This window comes from Homo sapiens, chromosome 15, assembly GCF_000001405.40.
Source record: "Homo sapiens chromosome 15, GRCh38.p14 Primary Assembly".
Lineage (NCBI taxonomy): Eukaryota > Metazoa > Chordata > Mammalia > Primates > Hominidae > Homo > Homo sapiens.
The window spans coordinates 33,065,779-33,081,621 of NC_000015.10; the positions used below are offsets into that span (position 1 = coordinate 33,065,779).

General features: G+C 42.5%; 1 protein-coding gene and 1 long non-coding RNA gene across 16 annotated transcripts in view, besides 1 other annotated feature; one reads left to right on the top strand and one right to left on the bottom strand.

Annotated features, from left to right (window-relative positions):
* The window catches only part of FMN1 (formin 1), a 429,171-nt gene that overhangs the window by 300,235 nt on the left and 113,093 nt on the right, over positions 1–15,843 (bottom strand). For 3 of the 15 annotated variants that reach the window (NM_001103184.4, XM_047432438.1, XM_047432439.1), the window contains exon 1: positions 733–2,396. The exons of the other annotated variants lie outside the window; for them this stretch is intronic. In NM_001103184.4, the coding sequence (NP_001096654.1) occupies positions 733–2,106 (1,374 nt within the window). In that variant the 5' untranslated portion in view covers positions 2,107–2,396. Of the gene's footprint in view, positions 1–732; positions 2,397–15,843 lie in introns of those variants that run through there. 15 annotated transcript variants of the gene reach the window in all.
* Positions 1,120–10,941, top strand: LOC124903459 (uncharacterized). The gene is made up of 2 exons (XR_007064574.1): positions 1,120–3,940; positions 5,112–10,941. It is a non-coding gene; the product is annotated as an uncharacterized LOC124903459 (long non-coding RNA).
* Positions 1,289–2,112: an enhancer, noted in NCBI's record as "H3K27ac-H3K4me1 hESC enhancer chr15:33359268-33360091 (GRCh37/hg19 assembly coordinates)". NCBI's record gives its function as "activates a minimal SCP1, AML or CMV promoter by ChIP-STARR-seq in naive H9 embryonic stem cells {active_cell/tissue: H9 hESC(naive)}" and the evidence as "EXISTENCE:reporter gene assay evidence [ECO:0000049][PMID:30033119]".

Here is a 15,843-nt window from a genome sequence, read left to right on the forward strand (position 1 = left end):
TCGTTTAAGATCTACTGGACAGGTACTTGCTCATCTTTATAAATTACCTGAGTTAGTTTTCTTTGAGTAATAACAGCATCTATTAATTAGATGCTTCCCATGCACTGCCTTTGTTTAATTCTCATAACAACCATATAACCATTTTATTTTCCTCATTTTGCACATGAGGAGATTGAGGCTTGGAGATTATCAAGGTTACCCAGCCAGTAAATGGCAGAATTAGAATAAAAACCCAGGTCTCATTCTAAATCCAGTGCTCTAAATCTGGAAGCCTTCCAACCAATGTGGAACACTCTAATCACACCACAAACACATATTTTGTCAAATGGCAGACTTTCAAAGGAACGATAGACTTTCTGCGGAGGTATAATTAAGGGGTGAGGAAACCCTGTAAACCTGGGCTATACTGCCATCTTGCATCATTTCCTCATGCTACCTAGTTTTATAAGTGCGTTTACCATCAACGTTTAAATTCACGGTGACAGTTACCCTTTCCTACCTGCACATCTTTGTGTATATCCCTCTTGCAATATTCCAGATAAAAATCAGGACGCATGAAAAGCACTTCTGGTTAACTCCATACTCCTTACAGGACAATATAATTTGACTATAATCCTTTTTCAACTAAAAGAATCACTAACAGGCAACTAGGATTCACTTTGGGAGGAAACCTGGAAAGAAATACAGCAGCACCATATTTTATGTTAAAATGCAAAACCCAATTCTACATACACTTTTGGAATCAGAGGGGCCATCCGCTGGCTTAGAATTGGACCGTTCAAACACAGCTCTTAGCGACTCCTTCTCATGTCTCATCTTGCGCTTGAGAGCTTCCAGCTCAGAGGTGTCAGCTGTGGTCCCCTTTCTGGGGGGCCGGATGAATAGGGCTTTAAAAGCCTCCAGGGCTGTCTCTGGCGACTTTGGCTTGACCTCACCACCCTGGGTTTGTGGTACTCCAGGGCCGCTCTGGCTCTCTTGGTCAGCATTGCAGCCCATCTCTTCTCTCCTGGGCGACTCAGGGTCTGCTCCCTTCGGTTCAGTTTTGGGCATGTCAATGTTGAGCAGCAGAGAGAGCTGCTCCAGGAGAGTGGGAGTGGCCTTCGGATCAGTTGCTTTCTTCTCACTCTTCACTGTCTGCAGCCCTGCCTGCACTAAGGACTTCTGCACAGGCTGCGTCAATTTGAGCAAAGCTAAGTCCCCATCCTTTGGTTTAATTTCCGTGATGGTCTCTCCTCCCTCAGCGGTAGCCCCCTTCTTCAGCACACGAAGCCCACTGAAAAAAGCTGGAAGTTGGAATGACTTCTCTCCAGAGACTTCTTTTTTAGAAGAGGCACTCTCAGTGATACCAACACTCGAATTCTGGTTTGTTACTGCAGGTAGGTCTTGGGACCCTTCTTCTCCCACCTGGTCCTGGCTGGGGCGACGCTCTGTCTGAAGACCACCGTTGCCAGCTTCCAGTTTGCTGCTCATCTCAGGTGGAATCCTTTGAGGATCTTCTGCACAGAGCTCTGCACCATTCATTTCCCCAGTGACAGTATTTTCCCTGAAACCTCCTGGGTTTTCTTTGGACTCCTGAGATGGCTCAGATAAAACACCACTAGGGGACTTTGGGCCATTGGTGCTGCTTCCCTCCTCTGGCTCCTGGCCACCATCATCAGAGTCAGAATCACTGGTGGTGTGCACCAGGGTCCCACGAACACAAATGACATCGTCTTTTGTCCCTTTCAAAGTAGACAGTGGAAGCAGCTCTTGAGCAAGGAGAGATGTCCCTGCTTCTTTTCTCTGACTTCCCTCTGATTCTGTCTCCACGCTTGCAATTTTCTCATCATTTCCGAGGTCAGGTGAAACCCGAGACCCTGCTTCCTGTGGATCCAAGCCATTGCTGGAATCATCCTGCTGAGATGTGGGATTCACGTCTAAACTATGGAATGCTTTCAGCACAGCATCTTCCTCTTCTGGATTCACAGATTCTAATTTACTCGTAAACCCAAATAGGGATTTCATAGAGAACTTACTCAGGATCGACTGAGCCACTTCAAGTCCGGCTTCTGGTTTTGCTGGTTCTGACACATCACTGCCATCCAGAGAATTATCAACGTTCTCCATGTCTCAGTAATGCCCTTGGTGGAAGTTCTGACTTGTGTTACCTTCTCCTGCGCTCTCAGTTTATCCACTCCATCTGCTCTTAATTTACAGGACAGAGAGCAACAGGACCCGGGAGTCAGGCTGTCAGCCGCACAGCAAACACACTTGGTCTCTTTCGGGTCACAGTGCCCTCCTTCCGGTTTGTGCGATGATGTGTTCCAGGGCAACTGTGAAAAATCTGTGGAGTCTATGCCCAGAAGCAGCCGAGGCTGCGCACCTTACTACACACGGACCAGGGAGGCTGCTCTTCTGAAACTTCCGTATTTATTCCCGGGGACAAAAGCCTTTTTGTCATAGGGAAAGTCAGCCTGCCCTGTAATCCCAACCCAGGACTTCACGAGGAGCTCCGCCCCAGGCCGGCGGTTCTCCTGGTGGCATTCAACTTCCTCATTGGTGAGCAAGTGAAGGCTTCTGAAAGTGCTGAGCCGGCAAGCTGATACTGAGGGCACTTAGCCACTGCCCAGAGCAGCCTAAGGGAATCAGAAGTAAATCAGCAGAAAACAACTGAAATACTTCTGACACAGGCCTTCTTTTTCATCTGGATTATGATCAGAGAGGCCTGGGGCATCCAGGCCAAAAAACTAGCAGTACACCCAGATCAGCAGCCACTTACGAAGCCGCAATCAAGGAAACAAATTAAAGAAAGCAATAGATCATCTCAAAAGTGCCTAGAACTCTCAAAGCAGTTAATTTACTGCCCTTGAAGCTTTTTTTAAGTGCTTTCTTCCGCTTCCCTGCAGGTTTCATCTGGAATGCAGATTTTAGCTCCTAAAGCCCGTGAGGGATAACCCACACGACTGGTTTCAGATGACTGCTGTTTTAGCTCTGCCCTAGCTGTCTCAGTGCTCTACAAACAGGTATTAGGCAAGCACACCCACCACACCCAGTGTCCACCAGCAACAGGGTGGCAGAGTAAACAGCCCAGGCTCCGCAGGAATGATTACCCTCTACACTCCCTGTGCCAACCGCAGGCTTCTTTCTGCTCAGCAGCTGTGACTTCCTGGCTGCCTTAGAAATCCTGGCAGCAGCAGGACACGCCTCTCCCCCTTTGGTGTCCCAGCCAACTAAATGAAACCTGGCATGACACAGTGTAACACACAACCTGCCCTATTAGACAAAACAATTTGAAGATCCCCAAGGATCCACGTTCTCCTAAAGGGCAAAACATCTGAAAAGTCTCTATCAGTCAGATCTCTATCACAGACCCAATTTGCCTCAACAAAAACAGGACAGACAAAACAACCTCCAAACATCAGCCCAGTGTAGTTTCTACCACTCTATTTATATGCTGGGAAACTGGCAACAAAGGATGGGGGTAAAAATTGCAGCCCTGTTTCCTAGCTGCATAGCTGCCTCTTGGGACAGCTCCCTATCTACCTGAAGGCCTCAAGTGTTTTCCAAATCCAGTCCCACTAAGCAGGCATGCAGTGAGTGCCTGGGATGGACAGGACACTGTTCTGGTTGGAGAGGCAAGTCAAACTGGCTGAACAGTAATTGCCATCTCTGTTTGAGCAAAGGTCCAAGAAGATTGTGGTCAAGTGTTAAACACAAACAGTAATTCCTTCTGCAAAATGGAAATGGTAGCCATAAGGAAAATGACAGTCTTGCTTTATCTGCAGGAGTGGGTGGCTGCATGTCACACATTGATAACTTGAGCCATGTTCTTCAGTACTAAAAACAATCTAAGCATCAATACTGAGAAATTCTGATTGCAAAAATACATTTCTAGCAATGTATTCAAAAGGAACGCTCACACAAATAAAAACGCATCATTGCATCCCATCAACCACTAAGGGTAAGTAAAACACTTTCTAAATCTTGATTTGATCTTGTGTTTTAAACAGGTACTTCTCTGTTTGCTCCTGATCATAGTATTTTTGGGAATTATTAACTGAGGCACTTAATCAAAAAGCCACCAGGACACTGCAGAAAAATTCAATGGTGTCTTTTAAGTCTAAGAACAAGATTCTTGTCTAGAGGAAATACCCATTGATTAAAATCAGACATCTGCTTCTTCAAGATTGTAGAAAGAAGAAATGATCACAACAGATCATAAGATCAGTCTTTCTCTTTTTTTTTTTTTTTTTTTTTTTTTTTTTGAGACCGAGTTTCGCTCTTCTTGCCCAGGCTGGAGTGGAATGGTGCAATCTCCGCTCACCACAACCCCCGCCTCCCGGGTTCAAGTGATTCTTCTGCCTCGGCCTCCTGAGTAGCTGGAATTACAGGAATGCGCTAGCACACCCGGCTAATTTTGTATTTTTAGTAGAGACAAGGTTTCTCCATGTTGGTCAGGCTGGTCTCGAACTCGTGGCCTCAGGTGATCCGCCCGCCTCGGCCTCCCAAAGTGCTAGGATTACAGGCATGAGCCACCGCGCCCGGCCTAAGATCAGTCTTCTTACGAGCAATGCAGATCATCCAATTCTAATATGGCAGGGGGCAGTGGGAGAGGGCACGTATTTGGTCTTTTTTTTTTTTTTTTTTATGAACTGAAAAGACTCAATTTCTCAGACATAACTAATTATTGATTTCTGGAATAAGCTTCCAGGCCCCTCTATAGATTTGGGCAAAATGGAACAGATGCTGGAAGGGGCTACTGGCCCTTCTGCACCATGGCATGGAGCAGAATTATAAGGTTTCAGTATCCCCTCAATACTCATAGATGCCAACACAATTTCATGGGAAGTGGGTCAAGTCTTTGGTCCCAGGAGATTATCTGATTTCATCCCCTTGGCTCTAGGTAAGTAAGGTATTATTAGGCCCATTTTTAAAGGTAAGCAACCATAGCTGAGAGAAGGTAACTTGCCAAACTTAACACAGCTAGTAAGTGGGGAATAACATCATCTAAGATTTGAGGGTTGACCATGTGCCAAGCACAATTTTAGGTGCTCCACACATATTAACTCACTTAATACAGATAACAACCATATTATGAGTTGTTATTATTATTATTCTCTTTTTCCTGCTAGAGAACCGAGGCACAGAAGATTAAAAGTCTTGCCAGTCCACAGAAACAGTGGATGGTGGAAGTATAATGTGAATCCATGCAGGCAGGCTCCAGCATCCACACTCTCAACCACTCTTCGAAAGCCCAGAGGCTCCACTTCCTTCCCGAATAGAAGACCACACACAGCGAGGTGCAAAGGTTTCAGCCCAGTTCATTGGTGGTCTTTAACTGGGATGTGAAGTATACTTTATCCTCTTAAATGACACAGAAGACAAACATCACCAAAAACAAACAAACAAACAAAAAACAACAACCTTATACTGAGGATGACTGTTCTTTTCTTTTGCATAACTTGGGGAAAAATCTACAAGTTTTCTTAGGAAAAAATGGAGAGAGAGGAAAGAAAAATCAAGCAAAAATTCCAGTAAACCTAGCTGGCCTATCTATCTAACACAGAAGAGACACGGAATCCTCTGGGCTCAAACACATCAAGGTTTTCCAGTTTGCCCCTACCATTCTCCTTCATTTATGAAGCATGACTTCTATTAAGAAGACTTCTTCATCCAATGTCATAAATGAGCACCAACAATGAATGAGGCTGTGAGGACATAAGAATGAAGATAGCCCTGCCTTCCACCTCCATGAAATGTGTAGTTTAGTTGGAGATCTCTATTTAGAAAGAGGAGACTCTTGTTTACAGACTGTAACCAAGGACTTTATCCCCCAGGTTCAGTCTAATAGTAATAGCTAGACCTGAAACAATTTTGAATGAAAGCCAGCAGTGACCATTTAAATATGAACACGAGTAACAGGAGCACGAGTAAGATTCAAAGAGATCTTTTAACACGGACTCTTTCAAGCCACTGGTTCTCATGACCATAAAAAATGTTACCACTGCTGGTCACTCAGGGAATGAGAGTGTTTCAGATTGTAATATTCAAATAAGCAACCTACAAATTCAATCTAAATTGGTCTTGAAAAATGAATCTCTTTAAAGCTTTAACATTTTCAGGGAGGATAGTAATCACTTCTCTTGGACATTATCTCAGTATCTATGTGCTGAAATAAGCACCTATTACACAAAACCAGCAGAAGCGAAGGCTTTCATCCTTTACAACCTACCTCAACTGATTCTCTTTTGTCTTGTCTTAACCTCAAGACAAACTCTCTAACTGCCACATCTGTGCAAAAATGATCTTCACCAAAACAAACAAACAAACAAAAAAACAACCTTATACTGAGGATGACCATTCTTTTCTTTTGAGTAACTTGGGGAAAAATCTACAAAAAATAATCTGTGCCAGATTAAAAATGATCCACCTCAGACAACCCACGTTTGAACTGTATGGGTTCACCTATACAATATGTTTTCAACCAAAAGAAGATGGAAAATGCAGTCTTCATGAGATGTGAAACCTGCACATATGAAGGGTTGACTTTTCAACTTTTCCTGTAAGTGGATTCCCAGAGCCTCCTGTGGGACTTGGGTATGAGAGGATTTGGGTATATGGGTGATCAATCTTCCAAGTAGATGGAGGGACAACTCTAAGTCAAAGGATACATGAGAAATAGGTAGCATTTGACCTACGTGATATTCTGTTATAACTCTGTTAAAAACAATCAGTACCTAGCTACTTAAAAATGTGAGCATAGTATTTGTGGAGAATTTACTAGCAGTGAATTCTTCATTTCTCCCATCTCACTGTCCTCTCAGCTGTACACAGATTGAAGGTGGAGCCAATTGTACCCCATGGCAAAAAGAACATCAGTCTAGGCTGGGCACAGTAGCTCACGCCTGTAATCCCAGCACTTTGGGAAGCCAAGGCAGGTGGATTACCTGAGGTCAGGAGTTCAAGACTAGCCTGGCCAACATGGCGAAATCCTGTCTCTACTAAAAATATAAAAATTAGCCAGGCATGGTGGTGGGCACCTGTAATCCCATCTACTTGGGAGGCTGAGGGAGGAGAATCACTTGAACCCATGAGGTGGAGGCTGCAGTGAGCCGAGATGCACCCCCTGCACTCCAGCCTGGGCAACAGAACAAGACTCCATCTCAAAAAAAAAAAAAAACAAAAACAGAACATCAGTCTAGTAAGTGTATACCTAGTGAGATAAGAACAATTGCAATAAAAGGCACATTATCTCCTATAGGCAGTAGAGCCTAGCTCCTTGACTTTCCTAATATTAGGAGATCAGCAATAAAAATTTTTAAATATCGTTTTGCGAAAACTGGACACTGAAAGAAACTTCTCTAAGGGCCCCCTTACTCTTTGTAGCACTTCTCGCTATTACTCAGTTTGGATAATTCACCCCCACATTCTCATCAGACTTCAGAAAGGCAACGTGAAAGTAAAGCAAACAGGATCGCATCTCACTGTTAGGCTACTTGTCATGATTCTCCTTGTCCAACTTATTTCAAGTTCTGGGCCTGATTTTAATGACAAATTGCTTCTAGCTTCCCAAAGTAGTTCAAATAGCTTCATGCGAAAACCGTTTGAAACAAAAAGTAGAAAGTGTAGTTAAACTTAGTAAGGGTAAATAAGAGTGAGGAAACTATTTCTGCAGGTGAAAAAAAGTTAAGAGCAATGTACTGGGAAAAATAAGTAAGTTCTGAATAAAGATATGGGTAGGTTAATGGGTGAAATCCTGGTTTCTTGGTTCAGGAAGCGTGTTTTAATTCAACAAACGGCATCTTGAACAAGAGGGGAGAGCTGAGGAAATTATAACATCATAAGGAGTCAAAAAAATGTCTGTAAAATGAGGGGTCATATAAAAGGAGTACAAGATTATGGAATAATTTGGGTAGAATCCAGTTGTTGTAAGGTTGAATGGGACCTTAGAAATAGTAGAAATTTACCTAGCTTGTTTTTTTTTTTTTTTTGAGACAGGGTCTCACTGCGTTACCCAGGCTGAAGTACAGTGGCACAATCACTGCTCAGGCAGCCTTCACCTCCCCTTGCTCAAATGATTCTCCCACCTCAGCCTCCTGAGCACCTGGGATTATAGTTGCGTGTCACCACGACCGACTAATTTTTGTATTTTTTCTAGAGACGGGGTTTCACCATGTTACCCAGGCTGGTCTCAAACTCCTGGCTTCAAGTAATCTGCCCACCTCGGCCCCCCAGTGTACTGGGGCTACAGGCATGAGCCACTGCCTCCGGCCTGGCTTGACCTTTTGTTTTAAAGATGAAGGCATTTGAGGTCAAGGGAAGCGGAACAACTGGCACCAGTTCATACTGCTCAAGTGCAGCACCCAGATGGGGAAAAAGGCATCCCATCTCCTGTTCACCCACATCACATCACCCTGCTGCTATGCTGTGGGATCTTACCTTCTTCCTGATCAGCATCTTCGTTATACTCATTTTCCACATCTTTGAAATGGAGACAACACCTTGCTTCTACCTAATTCACAGGAATATAAAGCCAAACAAAAGAAAAAGCCAGAGATACCCTTACACATCTAGTTTTGTAGCACTTTCCCTGCCTTCATGCTGTGGCGTTCCTCTGCCAATGCAACGCTTACAACAGCCTCTCTGGGTCATCCCATCAAAAGCCTGCAGCTGTTTTCACTAATTGGTTAAAAAGAAAACAGGCAGCACCTGCCTCTTGCAAGGACTGTGATTAAGGGCTTTTTTCTCTGTTGAAAAGTCTTAAGAGTAAAATATTTATAAGACTGGTTCCACTGGGCAGTATCAAAGCTTCTGTAGAAATGGATTGAATATAGATAACAAACTAGAAGAATCTAAAAGGAAAGGAGAAAGGCTGGGACATCTTGTGAAGCTTGAACAAAGGAAGACAGCAGTGGGTATGTAATCTTGTGATGACCAAGGAACACGGGCAGTGTGCATAGTTAAGAACAGGACCTCAGCCGGGTGCAGTGGCTCACGCCTGTAATCCTAGCACTTTGGGAGGCTGAGGCAGGCGGATCACTTGAGGCCAAGAGTTCAAGACCAGCCTGGTCAAGATGGTGGAACTCCGTCTCTACTAAAAATTCAAAAAAATTAGCCAGGCGTGGTGGTGGTGTGCGCCTGTAGTCCCAGCTACTCGGGAGGCTGAGGCAGGAGAATCGCTTGAACCTGGGAGGTGGAGGTTGCAGTGAGCCGAGATGGCACTACTGCACTCCAGCCTGGGCAACTGAGCAAGATTCCATCTCAAAAAAAAAAAAAAAAAAAAAAAAAAAGAACAGACCTTGAGTCCTGGGCTCACACCATGCTCCACTCCTACAAGAGACTTACCCTGGGGCAAGTTATATATAAGCTCCCTGTGCTGCAGCTCCCTCACCTGGAAACTGGTAAGAACAGTACCTACACTTCATGAATTGTTACGCGGCATACACTATTATGTGTTTGGCCCTCATTAATAACCTGCAGTAAGTAGGATATGTTTTCCCAGGAAAGGAACAGCTTCCTTAGGGACACCAACCATCATCTAACAGATGTTTTTAGCATTCTCATTATAAAACAAGTATTTACTGATGAACTAACAGCCCAAGCAGGAAGTTTTCTTCTCCCAACTCCCTCTGATATATGCACTTGGGCAGAAGGACTACATACAACACACCTCCGCATGCCCCAGCCGCAACCATGCCACAAGGAAACTGAGCTCCAAAGAAAATTCTTCCAAGGGATCCCTTTGGGTGTTGCAGGGCCAGTGTTTTCTGGATTGGATTCTTCCATCTGTGTCACTTGAGAAGAGAATAAAGTTTTCTCAAGTGGCCACTGCATAAGGTGACAAAGTTTGCCCTGTTCTTTATTTTGTTTCCCAAGCTCCAACATGATTTTTAAACCAACTCAGTTATTTGAGAGAAAAAAAAAATCCATGAATTTGGGGTTTCTTCCATCCTTTTCTCATGAGAAAAAGCATGCTGAAAATGAGACTAGGTGCCTTAGCACTGACATTTTCCCTTCTTTGGGGAAGGACTCTTCTGAGACAATGAGCAAGCCTGGGTCCTCCATAGCAGAGCACCAGCCATTTTATTTATTCATTTATTTTTGGTTTGGGGTCAATTCATTAGACTTCAAAAGTGCTGCTTCATTACAAATGAAATAAAAGATTACAGACATGAAAATCAACTTTGAAATAGTTATTACATTACTGGCTAGAATCCTACTCTCAAATATTTCTAAGACTGGGTTGTTCCACCAACCAGTGTCAAAGGTCCTCTAGAAATGGATTTAATATTGATGACAAAGTAAAATAATGTAAAAGGGGAGAGAAAGGCTGTGACTTCTGAAGCTGGGGGGCAGGGGGATGAGGGTTGGTGGGTAGCAGTCTTTAAAGTACAGAATTTCCTGGGATGTGTTTCAGAAGAGCTTTGAGCTTTCCCAAAGTGAAGGCATAATATTGCTGTTCCATATGGCTAATGACAGCAGAAGGCATGGAGTCTATGGTGAAAGCATTTCATTGTGACTAAGTTGCTCCTGATAAAAGATGAAGACCTGGAATTTATTAGACTACTTATGCCTGTTGCCTATATTCCCTTCTTCTCATGCAGTAAAGCGAGGCACTTCATGGCTACTGCTATAACTTTTTCTTTTCCTTAATTTTTTTAAAGTAAAAGTTATCTTGAGAATATTAGTTCGAACTCCAAAGATCCAGGTATCATTTCAAAATATTTTTAAAGGGGACAAAAGAAAATCTAGGGAAGGTGGGGATTTACCCAAAAGAAAATGAAGATGGATGGGAGGAGCATGCATGCTGTTCCAAGTAGGCACCATGCTCGGTTCTTTATGCAAGTTTTCTTGCAGCCTCACCCTCTCCATAACTCTATGAGAAAGATGTCATTAATTGCATTTGACAGATTATTACTGTCCAATGAAACTTTCTGCAATAAAGCCAGCATTTGCACTGGATCCATCTGATTCTAAATGTTTCTTTTCATGACAATAAATAAAAAAAACTACGGTATTTTATAACAGTTTTCTTTCCTACTAAACATAGGAAGGGAGGCAAAATAGATCTGCTGGTTACTCAGAACCAAATGGCTACTGAAATTAGAGGTTTACAGAGGGTAGAAAGGTCACAAATGAATCCTGAATCAGCAATGATTCTTTGATCCTAATACCCACATGATTAATTCAGACATTTAAAAAGAAAACTGTTGAAACAAATGTCAATGCACTAAAATTGCAAAGGAGAAGGTAAGTCAGGCATTGCCACAGCTATGATCCAATTTTTTTGAGACAGAGTCTTGCTCTGTCGCCTAGGCTGGAGTGCAGTGGGGGCAATCTCAGTTCACCACAACATCTGCCTCCCAGGGCGCAAGCCATCTTCCTGCCTCAGCCCCGAGTAGCTGGGACCACACGTGCATGCCACCATGCCTGGCTAATTTTTGTTTTGTTTTGTTTTCTAGAGATAGGGTTTCTCTATGTTGCTCAGGCTGGTTTCAAACTCCTGGGCTCAAGCGATCCACCTGCCTTGGCCTCCTAAAGCACTGGGATTACAAGTGTGAGCCACTGCGCCCGGCCCATCCTTTTTTTTTTTTTTAATATATATATATATATTTTTTTTATTATACTTTAAGTTCTAGGGAACATGTGCACAACATGCAGGTTTGTTACATATGTATACATGTGCCACGTTGGTGTGCTGTACCCAATAACTCGTCATTTACCTTAGGTATATCTCATAATGCTATCCCTCCCCCTTCCCCTGACTCCACAACAGGCCCCGGTGTGTGATGTTCCCCTTCCTATGTCCATGTGTTCTCACTGTTCAATTCCCATCCATGAGTGGGAACATGCAGTGTTTGGTTTTTTTCTCCTTGCAACAGTTTGCTGAGAATGATGGTTTCCAGCTTCATCCATGTCTCTACAAAGGCCATGAATTCATCATTTTTTATGGCTGCATGGGAGAAAATTTTTGCAACCTACTCATCTGACAAAGGGCTAATATCCAGAATCTACAAAGAACTCAAACAAATTTACAAAAAAAAAAAAAAACATCAAAAAGTGGGCAAAGGATATGAACAGACACTTCTCAAAAGAAGATATTTATGCAGCCAAAAGACACATGAAAAAATGCTCATCATCACTGGCCATCAGAAAAATGCAAATCTAAACCACAATGAGATACCATCTCACACCAGTTAGAATGGCGATCATTAAAAAGTTAGGAAACAACAGGTGCTGGAGAGGATGTGGAGAAATAGGAACACCAATTCTTAAACAGAGAGCAGAGAAAAAGTAGAGGCAATAAGGCTATGTCTTTGAAAAGGGACATATTGGGGTTTAGCATGAGATATTACTAGTCACACACTAGCTTTTTGTCACTTGAGGCAGGTTCTTTAACGTCTCTAAGATAGCATCCACGCGTAAAATGGGAAAAATAATACTTAACTCATAGAATAGTTCAAGAATTAAATGTGCTAATATTCTTAACCAAGTGCTTGCTTGATTCCCCACAGGAGCTAAATAAATGTGACCATCATTATTATGGAGCATGTGCAGGTGGTGGGGAGGAACCATTTTTCCATGGTTTTGAAATGTATTCACTATTGCCTCCATGTGGTACATCATTTTAATTGGATATTTAAATAAAACAAGTATATATAGGACTACTGTCATGTTCAATACTTTAAAAAGCCTCATGAAATATTCTGAAGAAATGCTGTAACAGTTCCTAGAATCAAAGTCACATACTTTCTATAGCTGGAGAAGGAAGTTTATGATGTTCCTATGTGAGACACTTGTAGCTGCAATCCTTAATGCAATTTAGAAATAATGATACTAATAAATTGGAATTGCTTAACTAAAATCTGTAAAATCCAAAAGGCAACAAAAAAAAAAAAACAACTGGGCCATAAAAACCAGAACTTTATGTTAACATAGGAGTGTTCACAAACAGTCAGTATGCAAAGGCTACTGCATTTCAAATTCTAAATAGCTCATATGGGTTGTAATTTTAACCACAAATTCCCACCTTCATCCTGGAGAGAGAGAGGAAAAAAATGCTTTTTTGAAAGACACACATGGAGTATAAATGACGTACGTAGCAAGAGACCAGGGTTGGAAGATACCATGTGAGGCTCACAGCACTCTAAGTTTAGTGAATGCAGACAGAACCTTAAGCTTTTGAGACAGAAAAATGAGGGTAAGAAATTGGAACACATCCAAAGGGGGCCAAAAACAATCATGTGAATTTTAGAGAAAATAAAGTATTTTAGTGGCAATATTTCAATTCACTTATATACAATTCCTAGAAAAATTCCTCATCATTTTATATAAAATTCAGTTCTATTCTGTGATCTCTCTGGCTTTGGAAGTATAATACAGAGTTTTCTCTGTATATACCCTCAAAAGTCCAAATTGTATATGAACAGCTATGTATTTCTCATCAGAATAGGAGACGAAGAAATAAGAATGTGTGTTATCAAGATCAAAGAAAAGCAAATTTCACAGTTCCATTAAGCATTAAGGTGATGCAATAATTTAGCCAAGCTTTTTATTCTTTTTATTTTATAAAGAAAGCTGAGGCTGGGCACAGTGGCTCATGCCTATAATCCCAGCACGCAGGAAGGCTGAGGGAGGGAGGATCACCTGAGATCAGGAGTTCAACACCAACCTGGCCAACATGGTGAAACCCTGTCTCTACTGAAAATACAAAAACCAGCTGGGCATGGTGGCACCTGCCTGTAATCCCAGCTACTTGGGAGGCTGAGGCAGGAGAATCACTTGAACCTGGGAGGCAGAGGTTGGAGTGAGCTGAGATCATGCCACTGCACTCCAGCCTCGGTGACAGAGCGAGACTCCGTCTCAAAAAAAGAAAGCTGAGCTGTTAGCAGATTTGCCATTATCTTTCAATTTGTAGAGAAGTGTGAGAACTGCTTTAAGAATTTGTGATCAGCAGAAAATAGAAATTCTATTTAAACATGATAACCATCCTTCACATCAATTTCCAGATTTGTACTAATTTGAGAGATAACTGGTTAACTTGCATGTGAATTAGGAAGTAAATCAGATTACTTTTTTTTTCAACTGCTTTATCATGACTTAAAGCGATGAGGAATTTGTAAAAAACAATGATTTTTCCAAATTGATCAGTTCATCCCTTTGAATTGTTCTTTTCATCTGGATAATTTCTTGATCACTTATAAGCAACAGACACATGATCTGTCTCTCATTCTTTTTCTCTTACACATACACACTGACATGTACTCACAACATACACAAATGAACACCCTCCATCAGGAAACAAGCTACTCTGATATTTCTAAATTCACTCCACTTGCAAGAACAAGTCACATTGTCACGAATATCCTAATGATTTGGTTAAGCCATTCCTATGGCCTGTAGCTTTAAGGGGTAGACTCTTTCATTGGCTTCCATGGAAACAATACAAAAATGCGGCCCTCTCCATGTAAGCAAAGACACAACAGAGAGCAATCTGTGCATTTACTGATGTTGAATCTAATTTACGCTGTGGAGTTTGTTATTTAGGAGTGAAGGAAGGTGGAAGGACTGAAATCTGCTGGTGTTCCCGTAACTGAGTGCCTACATTTTAAAGGTTTTATTCTTTTTTTCTTTTTCTTTGTGTTAACCACTAGACACCCCCTCACACTGCTAGTGCATTTAATTATATGTCTGCTTAAAAGTTCCAGAGACTGGCCAGGTGCAGTGGCTAATGCCTGTAATCCCAGAACTTTGTGAGGCCAAGGCGGACGGATCACCTGACGTCAGGAGTTCAAGACCAGCCTGGCCAATGTAGTGAAACTCCATCTCTACAAAAATACAAAAATTAGCCGGGCATAATGGCGGGTGCCTGTAATCCCAGCACTTTGGGAGGCTGAGGTGGGCGGATCACCTGAGGTTGGGAGTTCAAGACCAGCCTGACCAACATGGTGAAACCCCGTCTCTACTAGTAATACTAAAATTAGCCGGGCATGGTGGCGCATGCCTGTAATCCCAGCTACTCGGGAAGCTGAGGCATGAGAATAGATTGAACCCAAGAGGCGGAGGTTGCGGTGAGCTGAGATCGCGCCATTGCACTCCAGCCTGGGCAACAAAAGCAAAACTCCGTCTCAAAAAAAAAAAAAAATTCCAGAGACTAAATCTTGAAACAATACAAGGACCTGTGGAAATCTCCCCCACCCGGAGCTTGCTTCAAGGCTGCAGTTGAGCCCAAGATGATGAGATGATGCAGGCCCATTTACCAGATGTGGCAATAACTCAAGCCACTCGGACAAGTCACACAGATGTACACTGCCTCACCCCCTGCACGGAGGGTACTCCACGGCAAAACTTCCGCTTCTTAAACCCTTGCATTTCGCTTGGAAACTTGAAGTGGTTCCATTAAGACAAGAGCCTGGACCGTTTTCTCCACGGCTAGCTTTGGTTTACAGTACAGTCACTCTTCTACCATACCCCCACCTTGCTAACTGGTTTGGCAGGCAGCAAACGGTTGAACCTGCATTTGTAACATTTCCAACAATATTTCACCATTATTTTTTAAATGTTAAAAAATTGATATACGTATTTTGGGGTACGTGTGATATTTTGATACTTGAATACAATATGTAATAATTAAAAGTAATTAGGATATCCATCACCTCAATCACCATTAATTTGAAAGACCCAGGATACCTGGTGCATGCCTGAGGAATCTAGTGTCCCATATTAGTAGCTGCAGAATTTTTACTGGATGAGTTCTGTGTTGTAATTCTGGTTGTAGTTCTAGCTGTCTAATTCTGAGCCTGGATCCCAATCCTTCTCACTGATTATAGGAGCTAATCCCCATCCATTAAATGAATGTCTTTT